Below are 23707 nucleotides of genomic sequence, written 5' to 3' on the forward strand. Positions count from 1 at the left end.
TGCTTGGTCTCCATGTAGCAAAGCAGTTTTGAAGGTTTCATGGCTTCGTTGGATAGCTAGTTACCACATATTATACAAAGCAGGTTCAATGCACCCGTAATTTAAATAGGACTCTTGGTATTTTCTTTTAAATGCAGCTTTCATTTTGTTGCCAGTCTTAAAAGTCTTCTGCTGTCTCATCATTGGGTCTTTCCCCCCTTTTCAAAGAAGCTCTCCAGTGACGTTTATTTTTTACTAATTTGGCTAGGATTAGCTCATGGGCTTACCAAAACTGTGACTGAGACAAGTGTGCAGTGTGAGAAAGAGGCATGGTAAATAAAATAATGGGTGGGCCATGTGTGGGCTAAAATAACTGTTGGATTCTGACTTAAGGCCTGCTACCAGATGCAGCTGTACAACTGAAGTACATCAACTCACTTGCCACTATAAAGTTAAGCCTGCCACCAGATACAGCTTAATTGTCATTTGCCACTCACTGATAGGGTTTTGATATAAGTCTGCAAGCAGTTGATTTATGATGGTCTCTGTGCAGTCAAACCTCTCTGCTAATGTTAATCTGTATTTGCAGCTGCTCCTCAATGCTAGCATCAGTGCCTCAGCTCCACCTTAGATCATCAGGCGTTAGATTCTCAAAACCAGTGCACAGCCTAGATCCCTTGCATGTGCAGTTCACGATAGGGTTCACGCTACTATGAGAAACTAATGCTACTGCTGATCTGACAGGAGGTGGAGCTTAGGAGGTAATGTGAGCAATGGGGAGTGGCTGTAAATACAGATGAAGCTTTGCTCACTTGCCTGCCACTCACCTCCTGCTTTGCAGCCTGGTTCTTAACACACCACAGATCAGTACTGGTCTGTGGCCCAGGGGTTGGGGACCCCTGCTCTACAGGCTTAATGAGCTTGAAAAATAGTGTTCTAAAGAGCCGTTTATTGTAACGTAACACATTTAAAATAAATTCAAATAAATCAGAACTCCCAACAAATGTGACTGGATTACATTCTCTAGTAAAAAGAAAAAAGTAGTGCAGTTATAAAAAAAATTAATAAATAAAACAAGCCAACAAAAGACTAAAATTCAGGTATGCGCTGTTTATGAGACACATTGAAGGGTGAAAAGAAAAAAAGACAGGAAAAGATATACAAGGCAAATAGCAACTAAAACAAACCTGGATAGCTTTATCAATATCAGCCAAAAATTAAAAAATAAAAAAGCTTAAGGCAAAGACAGATAAAATATGGTAACTCACTTTAATCAAAAGGTTAAATTCATCAGCACCACAGGAAAGGGAGAAAAAAGGTTAAACTCGGCAGGAAAATGTAATAATTCAAGTCTAAGTATAACCAATAAATTAGCCGTAAAATACATAAAACCAAAAAAATATATAACAACAACAAGAAATTGTCAAATCCACCATCACGGTAGGTGATGTTAATGCAATTCCCTAGGTAAGCAAAACGTCAAGCAGACAGAAAGTCAGCCTAGCTTAATGAATGTATATGAAACACCACAGCTGAACACCCATCAAATAAGAAACATGGCAAGAAGGAAGCAATTTGTGGTGGAAGCAGAAGCTTGAATGGATGCAGAGGGGTAAAGGAGGCCAGTAAAGGCAAAACACTGGCAGGGTTGGGAATGAGCAGGTGCTATACTCGCAGAGAAAGCCTGCAAATGGGGAGAGGAGTGAGGGTATGGAACACACATGAGGAGGGCAGTGGGGCCAGGGTAATGATGGAGCACTGGGGTAAAAATTAAAGAACAATCCATTTCCTAGGAACCTTCCCTGGTTCCTGCTCTTCCTGAGACCTGGCTGTTAAGCTAATTCTGGGTCACCTTGCAAACAAGTATCCATTCTTGAAGTAACTGAAATGATCCTCTGCTCATTACAACCCAAATAACTAACCAGTTAAATAATGCAGTTTCCTTGTTGCAGCTGTCAATAGGGTTAAAGTTCTGCTGGAATCGGGGTCCCCACACAGACATTCTACACAGCTGCTATTCTTGGGCAACTGTGGCATGCAAGCATTCCCTCCTTCCCTCCACAAATGTTCACTGAGTAACTACTTTGAGCAAGGTACTGTGATAATTTCAAATGGCTTAAAAGAAACATTTTAGATAATACTCTATTTTCTTTATGGTCTTGACAGAATACCAAAGAACTGCTTATGATTTTCATTGAGACAGCCTGAAGGACTTTAAAATTGAGTTTCTAAAAGACTTTTGGCAGAGTATTTGGTTGAAAATTTAGGTAACTAAAAATGTAGGTTTGTATTTCTCACTTCAAAATGAAGACCTCTAACTCAGAAAAAACCAATATTGTTGCTATAACAGTGTATGAATTGTAATTTTTTAAACTGGTGGTAAAAATCCAGATGTAAAATATAATTTTTAAAGGGTACTTAAAAAACTGTTGCACAAATTATTTTCTGCAATGATACAGAAGAATTGCATTTGAACGTATTTTTGACCATGAGAGACAAGCCAGTACCTAATATGTGATGTATCTGGGAAACAAACAAAAAAAAAACAAAACACCCTGAAACAAAAAACCCCAAACCCAAAGCAAAAACAAAACTCTCAGCTTTTATTTAGAAAACACATCAACCATATACAAACAGAGATAATTTATAGCAGCCTTCTGTATGTATACAAGAAACACTCCAAGTCAAACTAGTGATATAAAAATCATAAAGAAGGTAAGGCAAGGCAGATAGAAATATTTTAAATGCTCATATGAAGAATTTAAGGCCTCAAACGTGTCTTCAATCAGTTGTCATAAGAGGAACCTTCTACAATTCAAAGAAAACTTGTCCTTGAAGATCATATGACAAAAAAGTTGTTCATCACTGTGTAGAAAGTACTAAAAAGTGATTAAAATTGTATTCAATGAAGAAAATCTTGATTTAGTATGATAACTATGGAAGAAATTGGAATAATCTCAGATCCTTTTTATGATACTCAGTCCATTCTCCGCATATATTTGTTACAATTACTACATTCCAGACTCTGTGTGAAGTTCTGGAGATATTCAGACCCTGTCCTCACTTAGCTTACAGCTTAGTTTTAACATTGTACAATCACTGTCAGAATGGAGGAAGGTGCAGCCACTCAACTAGGAGGCAACTGTCCTGGGCGGAACTCACATCATTCAAGAACTGATATCACTGGACAGCATCATGTGACACAACACGTCGTCAAGAGTGAAGACTCTGTATTACCACAGCAGAGAGACTGGATAACCAGGTATGATGCCACTTATACGCTGATGTGTTTATCTGTGCCAATCATGACTCCCCTTGATCAGGAATAACTCCAACCCCTTTCTCTTAAAGGTTAATTTCTCCAAATTGCTACAGTATTTTGTCACATTCACTCTACTTCATAGTTCCTGCTTTTATCAGTAAGTCACTTTTTGTCTACCCCTGTGGAACATTAAAATTTATGGGGAGTTTAAAAAACAAAAATTGATGCCTGGATTCCCTCCCTGGAGAGGCTGGTTTAACTGACTCTAAAGGGCAACCAGGGTTGAGAATCTCTCTCATCCATATTTCCACAATATTTTATGCTAGCCAGAGTCTTAAAATTCTCCTTTCACTCTTATACTATTAGCTTCTTTGCTGCAGAACTCTTAACCAGCATCTTTACATTTTCTTTTCTTTGAACTGTCTTGTTTAAAATCTTAAGGAGTGTCCAACAGAAAAATGGACAAAGGACCCATGGCTGGCAACTCACAAAAGAAACACAAATAACTAACAAACATCTGGAAAACATTCAACATCTCCTCTTGTAATCAAACATGAAAACATTTAACATCTCTCAACTAGTAATGTGTTCGTTAAAAATCCAGGAAATAGGCCTTTTTCATACACTGTGAGTAGGAGTGTATTTCAGAAGAACTTTTATGAAGGCAAATAGGCAATATATTTCAAAAGTTTAAAAAATGTTATTTCCAGCCAGGTATGGTGTCTCACGTCTGTAATCACTGCACTTTGGGAGGCCAAGGTGGGCAGATAGCTTTAGGTTAGGAGTTCGAGAGCAGCCTGGGCAACATGGCGAGACCTTGTCTCAACCAAAAATAAAATATAAAAATTAGTTGGGCATGGTGGTATGCACCTGTAGTCCCAGCTACTCAGAAGGCTGAGGTGGGAGGATTGATTGAGCCTGGAAGGTCAAGGCTGCAGTGAGCTGCGATCGCAACACTGCATTCCGGCCTGGGTGACAGAACTAGACCTTGACTCAAAATAAAACAAAACAAAAACAAGAATGTTATTTCCTTTGGCCTAGAAATTCCAGCTCTAGGAATTTACCTAAGGAAACAGACATGAGTCCAAAAGATAAGTGTTCAAAGAAGTTCATCATAGCAAACAGAACCAACTTAAAAGTATTTATTTAGGGCACTGAATCAACAAATTTTTGTATCTCTACGTAACAGAGTATTAAATGGCCACAAAAATGCTGGGGCTGAGATTGAGGGTGGCAGAGAAGGTATGAGGTTTACTGAGCTCCTTGCCTGTACAGACACATTTTTCCTCTTGCACAAACGTATACTTAGACATGACAGATATACATACATATGGGGATGCAAAATTGCATAAGAGGACATAAAAGAGGGATTACAAATGGGAGACGAAACAAAAAAAATAGGCTAAACTGAAATAAGAAAAGGAGGCTTGGTGAGTAAGATGCAGAATAGGGACTTTACAAAGAAGATGCAAGAAACTAAAAGGAAAAGCAGTGTTGCTGTTATGGAAAACAATATGGTGGGTCCTCAAAAAAATTAAACATAGAATTACCATATGATCCAGCAATCCCACTTTTGGGTATATACTCAAAAGAACTGAAAACAGGGGCTCAAACAGGTATTTGTATTCCCATGTTAATAGCAGCATTGTTCACAATACCCAAAGGTAGAAGCAACCCAAATGTCCACTGATAGATGAATAAACAAAATGTGTAATGTACATAAATGGAGTATTTTTCAGCCTTAAAAGGAAGAAAATTCTGAAACATGCTACAACATGGATAAACTTTGAAAATATTATGCTAAGTGAAGTAAGCCAGTTACAAAGACTCCACCTATATGAGATACTTTGACTCCAATTATACATATGGTAGACTGTTCCACAGGTTACAGAGGCTCTGTGCATTTTTTCTTTATGCTTAAATTTAGATAATCTCTATTACTATGTCTTCAAGTTCACTTACCCTTTCTTGAGGACGTTATGCTAAGTGAAATAAGTAAGTCACATAACGGCAAACACTGCATAATTCCACTTATATAATGTACCTAAAGTAGTCAAATTCATAGGGATAGAAAGTAGAATAGTAGTTGCCAGGGGCTGAGGGGAGGAGGGGATAGGGAGTTATTGTTTAATAAGAACATCATTTCCATTTAGGAAGATGAAAAAAGTTTTGGAAATGATTAGTGGTGATGTTTGTAAAAAAATGTGGATGTACTTAATGCCAATGAATTGTAAATTAAAAATGGTAAATGTTATATTATGCATATATAATAAAAATTGCAGGTCTGAAAAAAATTCTAAAGGACAATAATACTAAGTACTCTGATATTGATAATTGCAATATTAGCTTTGTTTTCTTTTTCAAGGAAATCGGTCCTTACTAGCACTTTTGAACACTTTGTCTCTTGCAAATCCAGTACATGTCAAACTTCTGAAATGCTACTCAAAACTTCACAATAACACAATGTGTTAGTACTTGAGAGCCAAAAGGTAAAAACTTTAATCCTGGCTCCAATCTTAATTAGGTATTAGCTGGGGGAAAATCAGTTAATTCTTTCTAGACTTGTGCTTCCTATATTTAACATGAACAGGGTGGTCATTTCAACACAAAAATGAACTCAAGTTTCTTTGCTACTCTGATATTCTCTAGTTCCACAGTCTCTAAGTCCCCGACAACACTTTACACATTATAAATATCTTTGTTACATGGGTGGTTGAGCTTTGTGTAGTTTTTTTTTTTCCCCTAAGAATGCTGTATTGGTATATGGAAGATTCTATTTTGTATTTTAACATTCTTTTTTATGTTTATATCTTCTGTCATTTCATTGCCTCCAGTTAATATTTGTAAATTTTTTGAGCTAAATTTGTCATTAGCGTCTCCATTACAATTATGAAAGAATACCTGTATTTTTTCTTAAATCTCAAAACAAAATTAGGATTTTTTCCCTTAGAGAGAATTTGACTATCTCTTAATTATTTGATACCATTTATTTTGATTTTTAAGGAATATAACCGCCCCTGCCCCCCCAATAAAAGTAGTAAGCATGGAATGCTTTTGTTCCATAAGATGGGATTCTTTCCAAGGACTCTACCTTCTAGGTCTTGTCAATGTGGGAAAATAAAGTTTCAACATTAGTGTTTCCTTATAAAAGATCAGAGAGTGAATGCTTGATTCATGCCCACTTTACTAAACAGTTGTTTCCAACTATTTTAGCCCCTAAATATTTCTTTAAGCTTTTTCCTCTTTTTGATTCCCAGCACTACTGTCCTAGTTCGCACCATCATCAACATTTGTGAATACTACTGTTTTACCTTTCAAATAGGTCTTCCTGTCTTCAAGAAGAATGCCTTTGATGCCTTTAAAACATTGGCTTCTTTTAAATCTGACTTTAGCACTAAGTGAACTACGTGAAATATAAATCTGGCTGTCATTCTTTTTTTTTGCCTTTAATCAGTTTATTTTTATTTTTTATTTTTTTTAATTATTATTATACTTTAAGTTTTACGGTACATGTGCACAATGTGCAGGTTAGTTACATATGTATACATGTGCCATGCTGGTGTGCTGCACCCATTAACTCGTCATTTAGCATTAGGTATATCTCCTAATGCTATCCCTCCCCCCTGCCCCCACCCCACAACAGTCCCCAGAGTGTGATGTTCCCCTTCCTGTGTCCATGTGTTCTCATTGTTCAGTTCCCACCTATGAGTGAGAATATGTGGTGTTTGCTTTTTGTTCTTGCGATAGTTTACTGAGAATGATGATTTCCAATTTCATCCATGTCCCTACAAAGGACATGAACTCATCATTTTTTATGGCTGCATAGTATTCCATGGTGTATATGTGCCACATTTTCTTAATCCAGTCTATCATTGTTGGACATTTGGGTTGGTTCCAAGTCTTTGCTATTGTGAATAGTACCGCAATAAACATAAGTGTGCATGTGTCTTTATAGCAGCATGATTTATAGTCCTTTGGATATATACCCAGTAATGGGATGGCTGGGTCAAATGGTATTTCTAGTTCTAGATCCCTGAGGAATCGCCACACTGACTTCCACAATGGTTGAACTAGTTTACAGTCCCACCAACAGTGTAAAAGTGTTTCTATTTCTCCACATCCTCTCCAGCACCTGTTGTTTCCTGACTTTTTAATGATTGCCATTCTAACTGGTGTGAGATGGTATCTCATTATGGTTTTGATTTGCATTTCTCTGATGGCCAGTGATGATGAGCATTTTTTCATGTGTCTTTTGGCTGCATAAATGTCTTCTTTTGAGAAGTGTCTGTTCATATCCTTTGCCCACTTTTTGATGGGGTTGTTCTGGCTGTCATTCTTGTACTTTGAGCCCTTCACTGGTTTCCAGGGCCTAAAGAATAAAACCTAAGCACCTCAGCATGGCTGATTAGGCCTTTCATCACCACTGTATATCCTGATGTTCTAAGACCCAAGGGTTGCTGCCTCAGCAGATACCATGCAAGCCATATGTGCCTCAGCACATACCACACAAGCACATCCATGATTTTGCTTCTGTGTGTAACCCCAAGTGGTGGAATGTCTTCCTTCCCCTTTTTTTCTGGGTTACCACCTGCTTATTTTTGAAAATTTGGCTCGGGGGCATCTCTTCTAGGAAGTTTTCCCTGTTCTCTCGCATAACCTGCAGGCACTTACCATGTCATACTATAATAATCTCTTTTTGAGTCTGCCTTCTTCTCTGGACTGTAAATTCCCCAAGAGCAGTGCTATGGTTCAAATGTTTGTTCCCTCCTAAACTCCTGTTGAAATTTAATTGCCAGTGAAATGGCACTGGGAGGTGAGACTTTTAAGTGGAGTTTAGGTCATGAGAGCTCTGTTCTCATGAATGGATTAATGCCATTATCATGGGAGTGGGTTTGTTATCAAGGGAGTGAGTTCCTAATAAAAGGACAAGTTTAGCCCCCTTTTACCTCTCTCTCTTCCCCTCAACCTGCTTTATTCTTCTACCATGGAATGATATAGCAATCTCACCAGATGCCCTTGATCTTGGACTCTCCATTGTGGAGAGAACCACGAGCCAACACATTTCTGTTCGTTGCAAATTATCCAGTCTTAAAGGGGATATTACCACTGACCCCACAGAAATACAAATAACCATCAGAGAATATTATAAACACCTCTATGCACACAAACTAGAAAAGTCAGAAGAAATGGATAAATTCCTGGACACATACACCCTCCCAAGACAGAACCAGGAAGAAACTGAATCCTTGAACAGACCAACAATGAGCTCCGAAACTGAATCAGTAATAAATAGCCTACCAACTAAAAAATAGGCCAGGAGCAGATGAATTCACAGCCAAATTCTATCAGATGTACAAAGAAGAGCTAGTACCATTCCTACTGAAACTATTCCAAAAAACTGAGGAGGAGGGACTCCTCCCTAACTCATTCTATGAGGCCAGCATCATCTTGATACCAAAACCTGGCAAAAGAAAAAAAGAAAATTGAATCCAGCAGCACATCAAAAAGCGAATCCACCATGATCAAGTAGACTTTTCCCTGGGATGCAAGGTTGGTTTGACATATGCAAATCAGTAACTGTGATTCATCACATAAACAGAACTAAAGGCAAAAGCCACACGATTATCTCAATAGTTGTAGAAAAGGCTTTCCATAAAATGAACACTGCTTCATGTTAAAAACTCTCAATAAACTAGGTATTGAAGGACCATATCTCAAAATAATAAGAACCATCTATGACAAACCCACAGCCAACATCATACTGAATGGGAAAAAGCTGGAAGCATTTCCTTTGAAAACCAGCACAAGACGAGGATGCCTCCTCTCACCACTCCTATTCAATATAGTATTGGAAGTCCTTGCCAGAGTAACCAGGCAAGAGAAAGAAATAAAAGGCATCCAAGTAGGAAGAGAGGAAGTCAAACTATCCCTATTTGCATGATTCTATACCTAGGAAACCCCATAATCTTGGCCCAAAAGCTCCTTAAGCTGATAAACAACTTCAGCAAAGTCTCAGGATACAAAATCAAGATACAAAAAATCACCAGCATTCCTATACACCAAGAGTCAAGCCAAAGCCTAATTAAGAACATAATCCCATCCACAATTACCACATACACAAAATAAAATACCTAGAAATACAGCTATCCAGGGAGATGAAAAATCTCTACAATGAAAACTACAAAATATTGATTGAAGAAATCAGAGATGACACAAACAAATAGAAAAAACATTCCATGCTCATGGACAGGAAGAATCAATATCATTAAAATGGCCATATTGCCCAAAGCAATTTACAGATTCAATGCTATTCTTATTAAGCTACCATGACATTCATCACAGAACTAGAAAAAAGTATTTTAAAATTCAAATGGGGCTGCACACGATGGCTCACACCTGTAATCCCAGCACTTTGGGAGGCTGAGGTGGGTGGGTTGCTTCAGCCCAGGAGTTCGAGACTAGCCTGAGCAACATGGCAAAACCCCATCTCTGCAAACCAACCAACCAACAAACAAACAAACAAACAAACAAAAAAACAGAAATTAGCTGGGCATGCTGGTGTGTGCCTGCGGTTCCAGCTATTTGGGAGGTTAATGTCGGGGGATTGCTGGAGCCTGGAAGTTGAGGCTGCAGTAAGCCACTTTCACACTGCTGCACTCCAGCCTGGGGGAAAGAGCAAGATCCTGTCTCAAGAAAAATAAGGCCAGGCACAGTGGCTCACCTCTGTAATCCCAGCACTTTGGGAGGTTGAGACTGGCAAATCACCCGAGGTCAGGAGATTGAGACCAGCCTGGTCAACATGGCGAAACCCCGTCTCTACTAAAAATACAAAAATTAGCCAGCCGTAGTGGTGTGGGCCTGTAGTCCCAGTTACTCGGGAGGCTGAGGCAGGAGAATTGCTTGAATCTGGGAGGCAGAGGCTGCAGTGAGCCAAGATTGTGCCACTACACTCCAGCCTGGGTGACAGAGTGAGACTCTGTCTCAAAATAAATAAATAAATAAAATAAAATAAAATAAAAATTCATATGGAACCAAAAAAGAGCCTGAATAGCCAAGGCAATCCTAAGGAAAAAGAAAGCTGGAGGCATCACACTACCTGACTTCAAACTATACTTCAGGGCTACAGTAACCAAAACAGCATGGTACTGGTACAAAAACAGACATATAAACCAATGGAACAGAATAAAGAGCCCCCAAAATAAGGCCACATACCTACAACCATCTGATCTTTGACAAAACAGATAAAAACAAGCAATGGAGAAAGGACTCCCTATTCAACAGATAGTGCTGGAATAACTGGCTAGGCACGTGCAGAAGACTGAAACTGGACCCCTTTCTTACACCATATACAAAAATCGACTGAAGATGAATTAAAGACAAATGTAAAACCTAAAACTATAAAAACCCTGGAAGACAACCTAGGCAATACCACTCTGGACATAGCACAGGCAAAAATTTCATGGCAAAATGCCAAAAGCAATTGCAACAAAAGCAAAAATTGACAAATGAGATCTAATTAAACTAAAGAAAACTAAAAGCTTCTGTACAGTAAAAGAAACTATTGAGTAAACAGACAACCTACAGAATGGGAGAAAATTTTTGCAAACTATGCATCTGACAAAGGTCTAATATTCAGCACCTAAAAGGAACTTAAACAAATCTACAAGAAAAAAAAACAACCCCATTAAAAAGTGGGCAAAGAACATGAACAAACACTTTTCTAAAGAAGACATACATTTTATTTTATTTGCAATAAGCATATCAAAAAAAGCTCAACATCACTGATCATTAGCGAAATACAAATCAAAACCACAATGAGATACCATCTCATACCAGTCAGAATGACTATTACTAAACAGTCAAAAATTAACAGATGCTGGCAAGGCTGCGGAGAAAAAGGAATGCTTATACACTGTTGGTGGGAGTGTAAATTAGTTCAACCATTGTGGAAATCAGGGTTGCAATTCCTTCAGAAGCTAAAAACAGAATTACCATTTGACCCAGCAATCCCATTACTGGGTATATACTCACAGGAATATAAATCATTCTGTAACAAAGACACATGCATGTGTATGTTCATTACAGCACTATTCACAATAGCAAAGACATGGAATCAACCTAAATGCCCATCAATGGTAGACTGGATAAAGAAAATGTGGTACATATACACTATGGAATACTACACAGTTGTTAAAAAGAACGACATCATGTACTTTGCCAGAACATGATGGAGCTGGAGGCCATTATCCTTAGCACACTAACACAGGTACAGAAAGCTAAATACTGCATGTTCTTACTTATAAGTGGGAGCTAAATGATGAGAACACCTGGACACACAGAAGTGAACAACACACACTGGGGTCTACCTGAGGGTGGAGGGTGAAAGGAGGGAAGAGGATCAGGAAAAATAACTAATGAGAACTAGGCTTAATACCTGGGTGACAAAAAAAAAATAATAATGCCTGGGTACAACAAACCCGTGTGACATGAGTTTACCTATATAACAAACCTGCACATGTACCTCTGAACTTAAAATAAAAGTGAAAAAAGATAAATCACCCAGTCTTAGGTATTCTGTTATGGCAGCACAAAAGGGACTAAGACAAGACAAGCAGTAACCATGTTTTCCTAACTGCAGTATTCTTTTTTTTTTTTTTTTTGAGACGGAGTCTCGCTCTGTCACCCAGGCTGGAGTGCAGTGGCACGATCTCAGCTCACTGCAAGCTCCGCCTCCCTGGTTCACACCATTCTCCTGCCTCAGCCTCCCGAGTAGCTGGGACTACAGGCGTCTGCCACCACGCCCAGCTAGTTGTTTGCATTTTTAGTAGAGATGGGGTTTCACCGTATTAGCCAGGATGGTCTCGATCTCCTGACCTCGTGATCTGCCCGCCTCGGCCTCCCAAAGTGCTGGGATTACAGGCGTGAGACACCACGCCCAGCCTCCTAACTGCAGTATTCTTAGTGTTTAGCACACTATAAGTATTTCAGCATTATAAACAAGTCATCAAAATACTAGAGCAAAACTCATCACAAAGTCCACCTTACTTTGTTCTCCTTAGGTTACAGACATGAAAAGCCTAAGGCACAGAGAGCTGGCAAAGGAATGGATTGCTAAAGGGACTGCTTTGTAATAGTACACAGTAGGTGCTCTTTCTTTGTCATATGCAATTTTTTTTTTTTTTAAGAGACAGAGTCTCATCACCCTGTTACCTAGGCTGGTCTTAAACTCCTGGGTTCAAACAATCCTCCCACATCGGCCTCCCAAAGTGCTGGGATTACAGGCATGAGCCACTGCACCCAGCCATAATTTTTTAATGTATATTTTCATTAAAGGGACATACCAAATTTCCCATGAATGATTACTTTTGATATTAGGGAATACAGTTGACACAACTATGTTTAACAAAATACTAATTTAATAAATGATTGGTAACTGATAAGCAACTTTTCAGACCAATTTAAGAAGCAGAAAGAATAATGAAGGATATTATATTCCTCGAATACTGGGAAAGCATGATACTTTTTGGATCAATATTCCTTTTTTAGTTTTTGAAAATGTGACTGTAAAAGAGATTTCTCTGTTCTAAATATGACAAGCCAAGAGGCTTCTTGACTCTGTAACCTGTGTCCCAGTTACAAAGTACTCTATTATGTCAAACAAATACAAACTTTGATAGGTACAGTATAACTCTCTTTTATTTTTTTATGTTTAACAGGGTCTCACTCTGTTGTCCAGGCTGAAGTACAGTGTACAATCGAGGCTCACTGTAGCCTCAACCTCTGGGTCTCCAGCGATCCTCCCACCTCAGCCCCCCAGTAGCTGGGACTACAGGCTCACACCACTACGCCCAGCTAATTTGTGTATTTTTTGCGGAGACCGGGTTTTGCCATGTTGCCCAGGCTAGTCTTAACTCCTGAGCTCAAGCGATCCACCCGCTTGGCTTCCCAAAGTGCTGGGATTATAGGCTTGAGCCACCACTATGCCTGGCCATAACTTTTTTTTTTTAAGTAATCTAGGTCCAATGCTTCATCCGCTTTGGATCTAAAAGCTTCTAAATTCACTTATTCCACTATCCAATTAAACCTTTTGAAAATTAGGCACTCATTTCCTGATTTGGCAGGATTAAGCTTAGATGCTTGGGTGAACACGAGTCTTATCTCTCAAGCCATCACTTTTAATTGGCAGCATGTAAAAAGATAACACAGAGTTTTAGTTGACATCAGAGTCTATTGCTATGGAAATATAAACATAGGTTTGTATTAAGCACGTCTCAAAGCAAGTTTTAGGACTGCAGAGAGACTTGAAGAGAGACAGGAAGTCAATTTTATTAAAAATTTATCCTTTAAATGTTGTAGTGCCCTAGGAGGTCAGACCCTCAGTGATCTCATCCAGCCTCATGGCTTTAAATACCATTGATACACTGATGACTCTGAAATTTATATCTCCGGGTTGGACCTCTCCTTTGAGATCCAAACTCTTGTATCTATTTTCTTCACCTCCTCAATTTGATATCTAGTAGGTACCTCAACCCTCCCAATTCCACTCTGTGCTCCTGATACAGCCCTCTCCCACCCAACTTTCTCTGCATACAATCTTCTGCGTTTTCATAGAGGTCAACTTCCACTAATCCTGTCAACTCTACCCCAAAAATATAATAGAAAGATGCTTTCTCTCCACTTCACTGCTTTCAAGCTACCATCATTTCTTGCCTAGATTGTTGGGATTGACTCTGAATTTGTGTCCCTGCTTCTGTATTTGCCTTCCCCTTCATGCTATTTATTCTCATATAGCCCTTGGAGAGATCCTATTATAATCAAAATAAGATTATGTCACTCCCCTGCTCAAATCCTCCACTAGCTTTTCATCTCATCCAAAGTATGACTCAATGTCCTTTAATCACTGATTGCTGTCTCCTGACTCTTTTTTTCTTCTTCATCCATACTGGACTCCATGTTCTTCACTGAATACGGCCTTTGAGTACACTATTCCTTCTGCCTGGAATGCTCTTCCCTCAGATTATGACTTGTTTTCTTTCCTCCTTTAGGTCTTTACTCTAAATAACCTTTTCAGTGAGGCTTTCTGAAGCCAGTAATCTAAACTTCCTATTCCCATCCCTCCTTACATGTTTAATTTTTCTCCTTAGCTTTTACCTAACTTACTATGTAATTAACTTATTTCTACTGATACTGTCTTACTAGAATGTAAACTTCATGAGGCAGGGATTTTTGTCTGTGTTTTCACTGCTGTATCCTCTGCACATCAGGAAGTGCCTGGCACATAGTATAAATTCAATAAATATTTCTTGAATGAATAATTAAAAAAATGGGTGATACAGGTCATAAAAAATAAGGTTTACTAATGAAAACATGATTAACAAAGGCCTATGAGCCTAACGTCTAAAAATATTCACACATTGTTGTTTTGTTGTGGAAATCTGTCTTTGGAAAATCTTTGACTTTATATCCCATAAGACCAGGGTTGATTCCTTGTATCTTTGTAATGTGTAACTTTAGAGATGAGTGTTCAAGAAGGAAGAGGATGATGAGAAAAATATAAGTGAGTATTAAATAATTTCAATTGTTTGCCATGCTGTATGAGCTAATGATTTTTAAAAATTATTACTACATACGACTTACTATTCATAGCTGACTGAAATTAGAAATGAAAAAAAAGGTTATTCATTGATTGAATTAGCAGTGTCTGGCACACAGTAATGTAATATATAAAGTAAGTTGGGCTTGGATGCCATCTAAAAGGGCTTAGTTATTGAAGCAGTTTTATTTCTGAAGTGATACTAAAGAATAGGCATGCGTGTCCAGGCTAGTTACAGTTAAATTTAGGAATAAGGCACAGTAATAAAGATACTATCTTTAGACTTGAAAATTATAAATCCTTAGTTGTTATTCCTTATCAGTTTATAAAGTTAACAATGAATGTACAGACTACAAGCTATCAAATGTACTGTAGATGAAAAGGGCAATAAACACTAGTCAGAGTTAGAGGTAGAATGATATAATGGAAAGGTACGAATTGGGGCCAGGCACGGTGGCTCACGCCTGTAACCCCAGCACTTTGGGACACCAAGTAGGAGGATCGCTTGAGCCCAGGGGTTCAAGACCAGCCTGGGCAATATAGCGAGAGCCCATCTTTAACAAAATAAAAAATAGAAAATATATATTTAAAAAAATAAAAAAGAAAGGTTAAGGATTGGGAGACCTGGGTAGTAGCCTTTACTAGCCACTTACTAGCCAGTAAGTAACCACTTACTGGCTGTGTGATTTGGAGTAAGTCATTGAAGCTCTCTTCCTTATCTCACTTGTAAAATGTGAGGATAGAATGATAGGCTTCAAAGAGTCTCTGAGAACTAAATATTGTAGGATTTTTTACTTCAAGCTTAACCACTGTGGTAGCAAAAATAACATACTCTCTGCTCCCCTCTCCCAAAGTATGTCCACATCCAAATCCCCAGAATTTGTGAATATGTTGTTACGTGGCAAGGGGAAATTAAGGTTCCTAATAAGTCACCATAAAATAAAGAGATTATTCTGAATTATCTGGTTGTGCCTAATGTAATCACAAGAGTTCTTATAATGTAGAAGAGGGAGCCAGAAGACTGGGGATCAGAGTGATGTAATGTGAGAAAGACCTGAACAACCATTGCTGGCTCTGAAGATGGAGGAAGGGGCCACGATGAGCCAAGGATGTGGGCAGCCTCTGGAAGGTGGAAAAGGAAAGAAAACAGATCCTCCTCTAGAGTCTCCAGAATGGAGCCCAGCCCTGCTGACACCTTGATTTTAGCCCAGTGAGACCTGTATCAGACTTCTGACCTCCAGAACAGTAAAAAAATAAACTTGCGTTAATTATTAAATTTGGTAATTTGTTACAGCAGCAGTAGATAACTAATATAATCATGATACTAACTGTAACTAGAAAAGTTGCACCCAAGTTTATCACAGATGCAGGGTTTTAAATGAAAATCCTATACGCAGATTTTTGTAAAGATCTTCAGTGTCATAAGTAACGAGAGATCATGAAAAGTTTGTTGAAAAGCTGTGGGAATTAGCAGAGAGAGTCTATATGGGAATACAGTTTTTACTAATGATTTTTTACTGATGATTTTACTAATGATTTTGCTAATCATCAGTAAAATTTTTACTAGTGATTTTGCTAATCATCAGTAAAATTTTTACTAGTGATTTTGCTAATCATCAGTAAAATTTTTACTGATTCATGTGAAGAGAAGAAACTTGGATATTTTATGAAGGAAAGAATATGGCCAAGAGGAGAAATTCTTCTCTGGGCTTCAGTTTATTTATCTAAAAACTGAAGGACTAGAATAAATAATTTCCAAATTTTTCTAGCTCTGAAATAAGACTTTAAAACCCTGACGGATGCTAAAATGGGCCTTTGACACCACTCCCCTACCCCACCCCACAAAGTACTATAGTTATTTTTAGTATCTGATGGTCAAGCTTCACAGAAAGCTCTCAGTTTGGTAACAAGGAAGTAGCTCTGAATTTTAACCCTGACACTTTTATTCAGGTAGGATGTATGAGAAAATTTTCTTTTCTTTTCTTTTTTTTTTTGAGATGGAGTTTTGCTCTTGTCACCCAAGCTGGAGTGCAATGGCGCGATCTCAGCTCACTGCTACCTCCACCTCCCAGGTTCAAGCAATTCTCCTGCCTCAGCCTCCTGAGTAGCTGGAATCACAGGCGCCAGCTACCATGCCCAGCTAATTTTTGTATTTTTAGTAGAGATGGGGTTTCACCATGTTCGCTGGGCTGGTCTGAAACTCCTCACTCAGGTGATCTGCCCACCTTGGCCTCCCAAAGTGCTGGGATTACAGGTATGAGCCACTGCGCCCGGTCCACTTTAGTTTTCTTACTCTTCTGCCACTTCACACATAAAATCATGGTAAACATTTAGCTTGGTGGATTTCCCATGGAATGAATCATTTTAGATGAAGGTTTATTCCTTTATGTAACTCAACTTTATGAATTTTTGATGAAACTTTTTCTAAAGTGAAATACATGCTCTATTTTTATACAAAATTTAGTAAGTACCATATAACCTTTTCTTGAAAAGAGTCATCACCAGTAAAATCAATTGCTATATTGTGTTGTAAACACAGTAATGTTCTTTCTACACAGATGTCTGCAAACTATGGCCTGCAGGATGTTCTTGTAAGGCTTGGGAGGTAAGAATGGTTTTTACATTTAAAAAATGTTGTTAAAAAAAAATGTGACCTTGACCACATACGGCTTGCAAAGCCTAAAATATTTACTATCTGGCCCTTTACAGAAAAGTTTACTTACTCTTGCTCTAGAAAAAGATGTACAGGCCTCTTCAACAAATGTCTCCAACTAGATTCAATTTTATGCTCTGTCACCAAAGGAAAGTATTTTTATCTTGGCACAGTGTCTGACAGAATAGTTCTAATATTTGTGGAAAAATAAAGGTCATTGGTATTTAAAATTCTTTTGTTGCTTCTTCTCGTTACACAGTCTCCTACTCATCCTCAAGTTTTCGTCAGTCACTATAACTGCCTCTAGCAGTCTCTTCTCTAACTCCCACCTTTCTAATCTCAGTGGAAATTTGGTAACACAGCTTATAAATATTTTAAGGTAAGGTTAAATTGGTTACATGAAGACCCTAGACCTATTTTCTGAGTAGAATACAGGTGGTTTGGTGCAGCAATTTGGTGACTTATTTTGATTGTCCCAAAGCCTTTTTGTTTAGTTCCACGTTCTCTATTACCCTTTGGAAAAGCAACATTTCAGGACGAATGAGGTGTTACTGTAGCATACCTGATCATTTTTATAACACAAAGTAGCATTACAACTGAAAAGATATTCATCAAAAGACTGAACTGCAGTAATTGGAGTGGTAGGATTTTCTTGGAATATCTGAATTTATTACTAATTTTACAGTGAACATACATTACTTTTGTAATCAGAAAAGCTACCTTAATTTAAAAAAAAGAAAAATCAGAAGGATCTGTCTACTCAATCTTACTGACCTAACTCAACAATTTTCATTTGGCATATTTTCTATCATAATTTGATCATCGTTTTCAGAGGTTGTAAATACTGTGTTTATGTTTTTATTTTGATTCATACTTGGCTTGCTGAAAAATACGCTGTAAATATAAAATACTGCAGTAATGCCGACAATCAACATGGTGAAAGGTGACAGTCTTTTTGATTTCTGCTCAACTCATTATTTTATACAATAAGCTCAGACGAATAATACCCAATTTGGATAATGTTACGCTTGACAAAACACTTTACTTCATTTAGTCCTCACAACAACCCTGTGAGGTAGGCACATTCTCGGAGGTAAAATGACGTGGGCAAAGTTCCCTGGCTCGTTTGGGGAAAGGCTCAGCAGCCGGGCCAAGAAAGGTCTTTGGGGGCGCAAGTCTTTGGAGGGCAGGTCTTTGGGGAGCGCTTTGAGTAATATTAGAGCTTTCACTAAACCCTGGCCTATTACGTCCCCTCCCCTGAGATTTACCTTTATATACTCAAGTTCTTTCATGCCAGGAAGGTAGGCTGAAGGCTTCGAAAACCTGCAGCTCATACCCAAAGCTAGCACTGTCTATCCCTGGAGACCCAGCGCCCAAAAGCTCCACTGGGCGCATAGCGCACGGCACGCCTCCTCCCCCGAGCCGCAGACTGAGTAACTGGCCCCGGACTAACCTGACCAGGTCGGTCATGCAGGAGCCCACCACTACCACCGCCGCCACCTCCTCTTGCCACTGCCTCTGGGGTTCCCCAGACGCCGCCATCGCTCAAAGGTGCTGCTGTCCAACCTGGACGGTGACCTCTGCCCTTTGCCCGACCCCGTAACCAGAGACGCCACTCCTGCCCTCCCTAACGACGCGGGCCTTTCAGACGCCTACGCGGGTCGCCCACCTGACTGCCCGAAATCACCCCGCCCACCAAGTGTCCCCTCTTCTTCCTGGAATAGTCTCGGTGCACAGCCTCACGTAACAGGGCCCTCCTGATATGGCGAGACTCCGCGCTCCTCGTCACTCACGGGGCAGGCGCTGAGGAAGGAACTGTCAGGCACCGCGGGGACGCCTTTCCGAGCGCCCGGCTCGGCGCGGCGCGGGGGCGCGCACGCCGCCCAGCTTCGGGGCCGCAGAGGGGGCGGGGCGGGACGTCCGGGGAGTGCGCACGCATCCTGCCCGCGGCGCGCGCGCAGGTCGGTGCGTCTGTCGGGGGCGCGCTCGGGTACCTGTACCCCACGTAGTCGCCGGTTACCGATCGGACTAAGTTCCAGGTACCTGGACTGGGGCTGGTGCGGGGAGGTTGGATCCCGAGTCGCACAGGTGGCGTGGAGAACTGTGGTTTAAATATGGCCAGGGGACTCGCCTCCTCTTCCTATGGAGAAGGCCCCCGTTCCAAAGATGCCCTTCTCATCCCCATCACGCTGATTCCCTCAAGAACGAGCCCCCAAGGCCAGAGGCGTCTCTTTCTCCATATCTGGCCCATCCCCTGGTTCCTGTAAACCCCGAGTATTAGTTCCTTGTTGCCTGATGAGGGGAATCATACAGTTTGGAAGAGGGGAGAGTGTCCCTTTTTAAGACGTCCCCTAGAGTGGGGTGGTCATTCTTCGGGTCTGAGCTAACTTGTTTTTCTCGAATGTTGCCCCTTGGGGGAAATTGCTTCCCCAGTGTAACTTCCCTCGTGCGCTGTATGACGTCGACGTGACGCAGCAGGATGCCACCCCTTTCCGTTCCATGACGTCAGCAGGGCACATGTTTCCGTGTTTGTCATCTCATTTTAATTGCAAGAACCTGGATGGTGCTTTAGACGTCTTTGTAATCCCCAGGCCTCTCATCAAAGGACCTTTTGTAACTTTATTTTGGGGTAGCAGACCCTTGCAAAAATTGTAATTTTGCATTTTCCTTTTGCAATACGTCAAAATCAGGAAATACAAATTGCAGTAGTAGTATTCAGGGGACTCTGACCACCGTAAATATTTGTATATCTGGGGTGTATTATAGTGCTGCCATGCGTAAGAGTTACTACCGGTGGTGACTCCCTGTCCATGTACCCGGTTCACTGCACCAAAGGACCAGTGTTTTTGGCTAAGTGACTTCTGATTTTGGAGTCATTGTGTTCCACTCCCCACCCCCCGCCCTTTTTTTTTAGAGAAGTCACACCTCCTCATGGTTGAAATAGATTTTAATACTGCGTGAAACCTTGCACTGTTAAAACATAGTATTATGGCTGCCCTGGAAATAGAATTCATTCCCTCAGGTGTCATCCTAAAGTCACGACCGTTGCTGAATTAGAATGTATTGTTGTCACTTAGTATGGTTTGGCTTCTAGAGCAAGGCTGTTCCCTTTAACATTTGACTAGTGAATCACTCAGACCAGGTTCAGCAGTAGGTCAGCAATAGTCCAGTTTGTTTTTAGTGGTAAAGCAATCATTTGTTTAAATTTTTACTTTTTGTCTGTTCACATTTTATAAGATATACGCTTTACAAAATCACCTTGATGCTTTTCTCTTTGGTGATAGAAGTTATCAATGTTTATTTGAGAGAAAGATGGGTATAGTGGACTTGGAGAATCCGGATTTGGATTCTGATCCTCCAGCTTCCAACATTCAACAAGTTATTTTATTTTGCTGAGCTTTAATTTTCTATTTGTCAAGTTTCTTTAGCTTCCACTTGTCAAATGGGAACAATTATTGTTCTCAGGGAACAGAGTTGGGGAAATGTAAATGAAATTACAGATAGAGATGAGTAATATAATGCCTGATAATGGGTAGATAGGTGTCTAGAATGTGTTGGTTCTGTTTCCTTCTTTTGTAGAAGCAAGAGATAAAGTAATAATGGGTACTGTGGGGAAAAACACAGAAGAACAATTCGGTAATATAGGTGAGACCCTTTTGCTTTTTTATAAGATAGGTATATTTGTACTTAGCATATGACTTTGATAAGCATCCCTTCAAGAATTGTGACATAGACATGAAGGTGGAAATGTTGGCGAATAGAAAAAAATAGGCTTCAAAATTATGATGTGGATTAGTATACTGTTCAGAATCAAATTATAATAATTACCCATATTATCTGCAAACTGGGAATTAAAATTCCTTACTACCTCAGGCTTGTGAAGATCAACTGCAGTAATATATATGGACGCTCCTTGTAAGTGATAAAATGTTTAAAAAAGTACATGATTTTTATGATTGGTAGTACAGTGTTAGATGTTTAGTCTTACTTTGAAATGAGAGACTAGTCGGGGGGCGGTCATCTGTTAAGCGGTCAGAAGAAGAGCTTGTTTTATATTTACAAAAAGGATGATTTTAGAACTGAAGTATGAATATAAAGGTGTTAATCTCGAAGATACTTCTGGTTGTCATCACTATATAGGGTCAAAGTGTTCTTATTTTTTGAGCTATCAAATTAGCAAATAAATTTATTACTTACTATCTGAAATAATAAACTGAAACAGGTTTTAATTTTCAACATTTATTTTAGCAAGGACTTGTAAGTTTTCATGTGGTATAATGTATGAAAACTAGAACCAGAGCATCATTTACTGGTAACTTGCTGGAAATTAATTTTCTTTTGATGTGGCATTATTCTTTAAAATTGAGGAAGGAAACGATCATTTGAATCGACTTTTTCCTCTGAAGGAAGAGGCTTTCATTTAGAAATCTATTAAGAAGAATTCGTGTACTCCCTCCCCCAGCCCTATGAGTTTCCAGATAATTTAGATATGATGTATTGGTTCTACTTTTGTGGTTTTAAGTGTAAGGACTTAGTGCCTTAAAGTCAAATACCTTAAGATCCATGTTAGTCTGTGTTGCTTGATAGCTGCATAGATGTATGTTTTCATAATTTAATTGTCAAGTAGATTTTTGTTATATCTCTTCCTTGGATCTTGTTATATCTATTCCCCTACCAAATTCTGGGGAGGGGGCACATTATCTTCTCTCCATACTGAAATATTTCTCTAACTTTTGTCCCCTTACTCATTTATTTATTAAAAAATGTTTATTGAGTGTTTAGCATGTGCCAGGTATTTCTGTTAAACCCTGGGGATTCAAAACATAGACCCTGCAGGGAAGAGATCACGTAAGCAGGTAGTTATACTACACTGTGGACGGAAAGGTATTAAGAAAGGTGTATCAGCAGTAGGCCGGGTGCGGTGGCTCACGCCTGTAATCCCAGCACTTTGGGAGGCCATGGTGGGTGGATCATGACGTCAAGAGATTGAGACCATCCTGGCCAACCTGATGAAACCCCGTCTCTACTAAAAATACAAAAATTAGCTGGGCGTGGTGGCATGTGCCTGTAGTCCCAGCTACTCGGAAGGCTGAGGCAGGAGAATCACTTGAACCCGGGAGGTGGAGTTTGCAGTGAGCCGAGATTGCGCCACTGCACTCCAGCCTGGCAACAGAGTGAGACTCTGTCGCAAAAAAAAAAGAAAAAAAAAGAAAGATATATCAGCAGTAAATAATTTCTAGTAAGTAATAGCTTCAAGCAGGTCAGCCTGTTGTAGAGTTTTATACGGTATTATCCATCAAGTTTTTACTCCTTGTGGGGACACACAGGGAGAGATTGCTAACTCAGTGATGTGTGTGTTTTTGTGTTGGGATAGAGGATTGTTAGCGAGGGCTCCTTGGACTCAGCTAAGGTAGAACGAGTGAGATAGAGTGGGACCACTTTGAGTAGAGTGTGGCAGTGTAGAAATCAGCTTTGGGAAGGAAAAGGGAATTGTATTTCAGGAGTTCCTTCTGTTCCTGAAAAGCAGTGATGTAGTCCCAGTCCTGAGTAGCTGAGCAGCAGTGAGGTGGTTTCTTCTGGAGGATCATTGGAAGAGGCTGCGCTAGAGATGGGAAATGAATTATTTATTCATGCAAGAGGAACTGCTGTATGCTGTCCAGTTTTCAGGCAGAGTGTTGTATCTAGTCCATTTGTAAGCCCTGATCATTATTCTTTCCTTCTGCTTTCAGTGGTGATTTACAAGTCAAGTTAAAATGTCCCCAGAAGTGGCCTTGAACCGAATATCTCCAATGCTCTCCCCTTTCATATCTAGCGTGGTCCGGAATGGAAAAGTGGGACTGGATGCTACAAACTGTTTGAGGATAACTGACTTAAAATCTGGGTATGTACCAGAATGAATTCAGTCAATGTACCAGAACCAATTCAACCTTTACCTAATGACAGCCCTTCCTTACCAGACTCATAAAAATTGACTGCCACAGAAACCCACCAAGTCATCATCTCATCATATGTTGATTCAGTTGGTTTTGTTCAGTTCTTGACATTTTATGTTTCAGGTTATTTTATTTGTGTTGTGGACCATTGTTTTATGACTAGAATGTTCATGTCTTTTTTTCTGTTTTTTCTTTGTGAAGAGCATGCCGTCAGAGTTTTAAAAGTGTGTTTTTCATTCATTGGCTTGTTTTCTTATTGTGTTTGCTGCAGTCCAGCAACAAACATA

The 23707-nt window shown here is 39.6% G+C and overlaps 2 protein-coding genes and 1 long non-coding RNA gene across 17 annotated transcripts in view, besides 1 other annotated feature; 1 reads left to right on the plus strand and 2 right to left on the minus strand.

Moving 5' to 3' along the window:
* Positions 1–19071, minus strand: part of RBKS (ribokinase) — a 109009-nt gene extending 89938 nt beyond the window's left edge. For both annotated transcript variants that reach the window (NM_022128.3, NM_001287580.2), the window contains exon 1: positions 18941–19071. In NM_022128.3, the coding sequence (NP_071411.1) occupies positions 18941–19029 (89 nt within the window). In that variant the 5' untranslated portion in view covers positions 19030–19071. The remainder of the gene's footprint in view (positions 1–18940) is intronic.
* BABAM2 (BRISC and BRCA1 A complex member 2) overlaps positions 17393–23707 on the plus strand; it is a 450193-nt gene continuing 443878 nt past the window's right edge. For 9 of the 14 annotated variants that reach the window (NR_137438.2, NR_137440.2, NR_137439.2 and 6 more), the window contains exons 1-2: positions 19413–19526; positions 23217–23368. Coding sequence is in view for 10 of the 14 variants with exons in the window: in NM_199192.3 (NP_954662.1) it covers positions 23241–23368 (128 nt within the window). In the remaining 4 variants the exon portion in view is untranslated. Of the gene's footprint in view, positions 17440–19412; positions 19527–21066; positions 21133–23216; positions 23369–23707 lie in introns of those variants that run through there. The other 5 variants (NM_199193.3, NM_001329115.2, NM_001329113.2 and 2 more) reach the window with 2 other exon arrangements.
* BABAM2-AS1 (BABAM2 antisense RNA 1) lies at positions 18140–19798 on the minus strand. Its single transcript, NR_028308.1, has one exon. It is a non-coding gene; the product is annotated as a BABAM2 antisense RNA 1 (long non-coding RNA).
* Positions 19259–19538: a silencer, noted in NCBI's record as "silent region_11306". NCBI's record gives its function as "represses an Ori minimal core promoter by ATAC-STARR-seq in GM12878 lymphoblastoid cells {active_cell/tissue: GM12878}" and the evidence as "EXISTENCE:reporter gene assay evidence [ECO:0000049][PMID:35858748]".

Source organism: Homo sapiens, chromosome 2 (assembly GCF_000001405.40).
Source record: "Homo sapiens chromosome 2, GRCh38.p14 Primary Assembly".
Taxonomy (NCBI): Eukaryota; Metazoa; Chordata; class Mammalia; order Primates; family Hominidae; genus Homo; species Homo sapiens.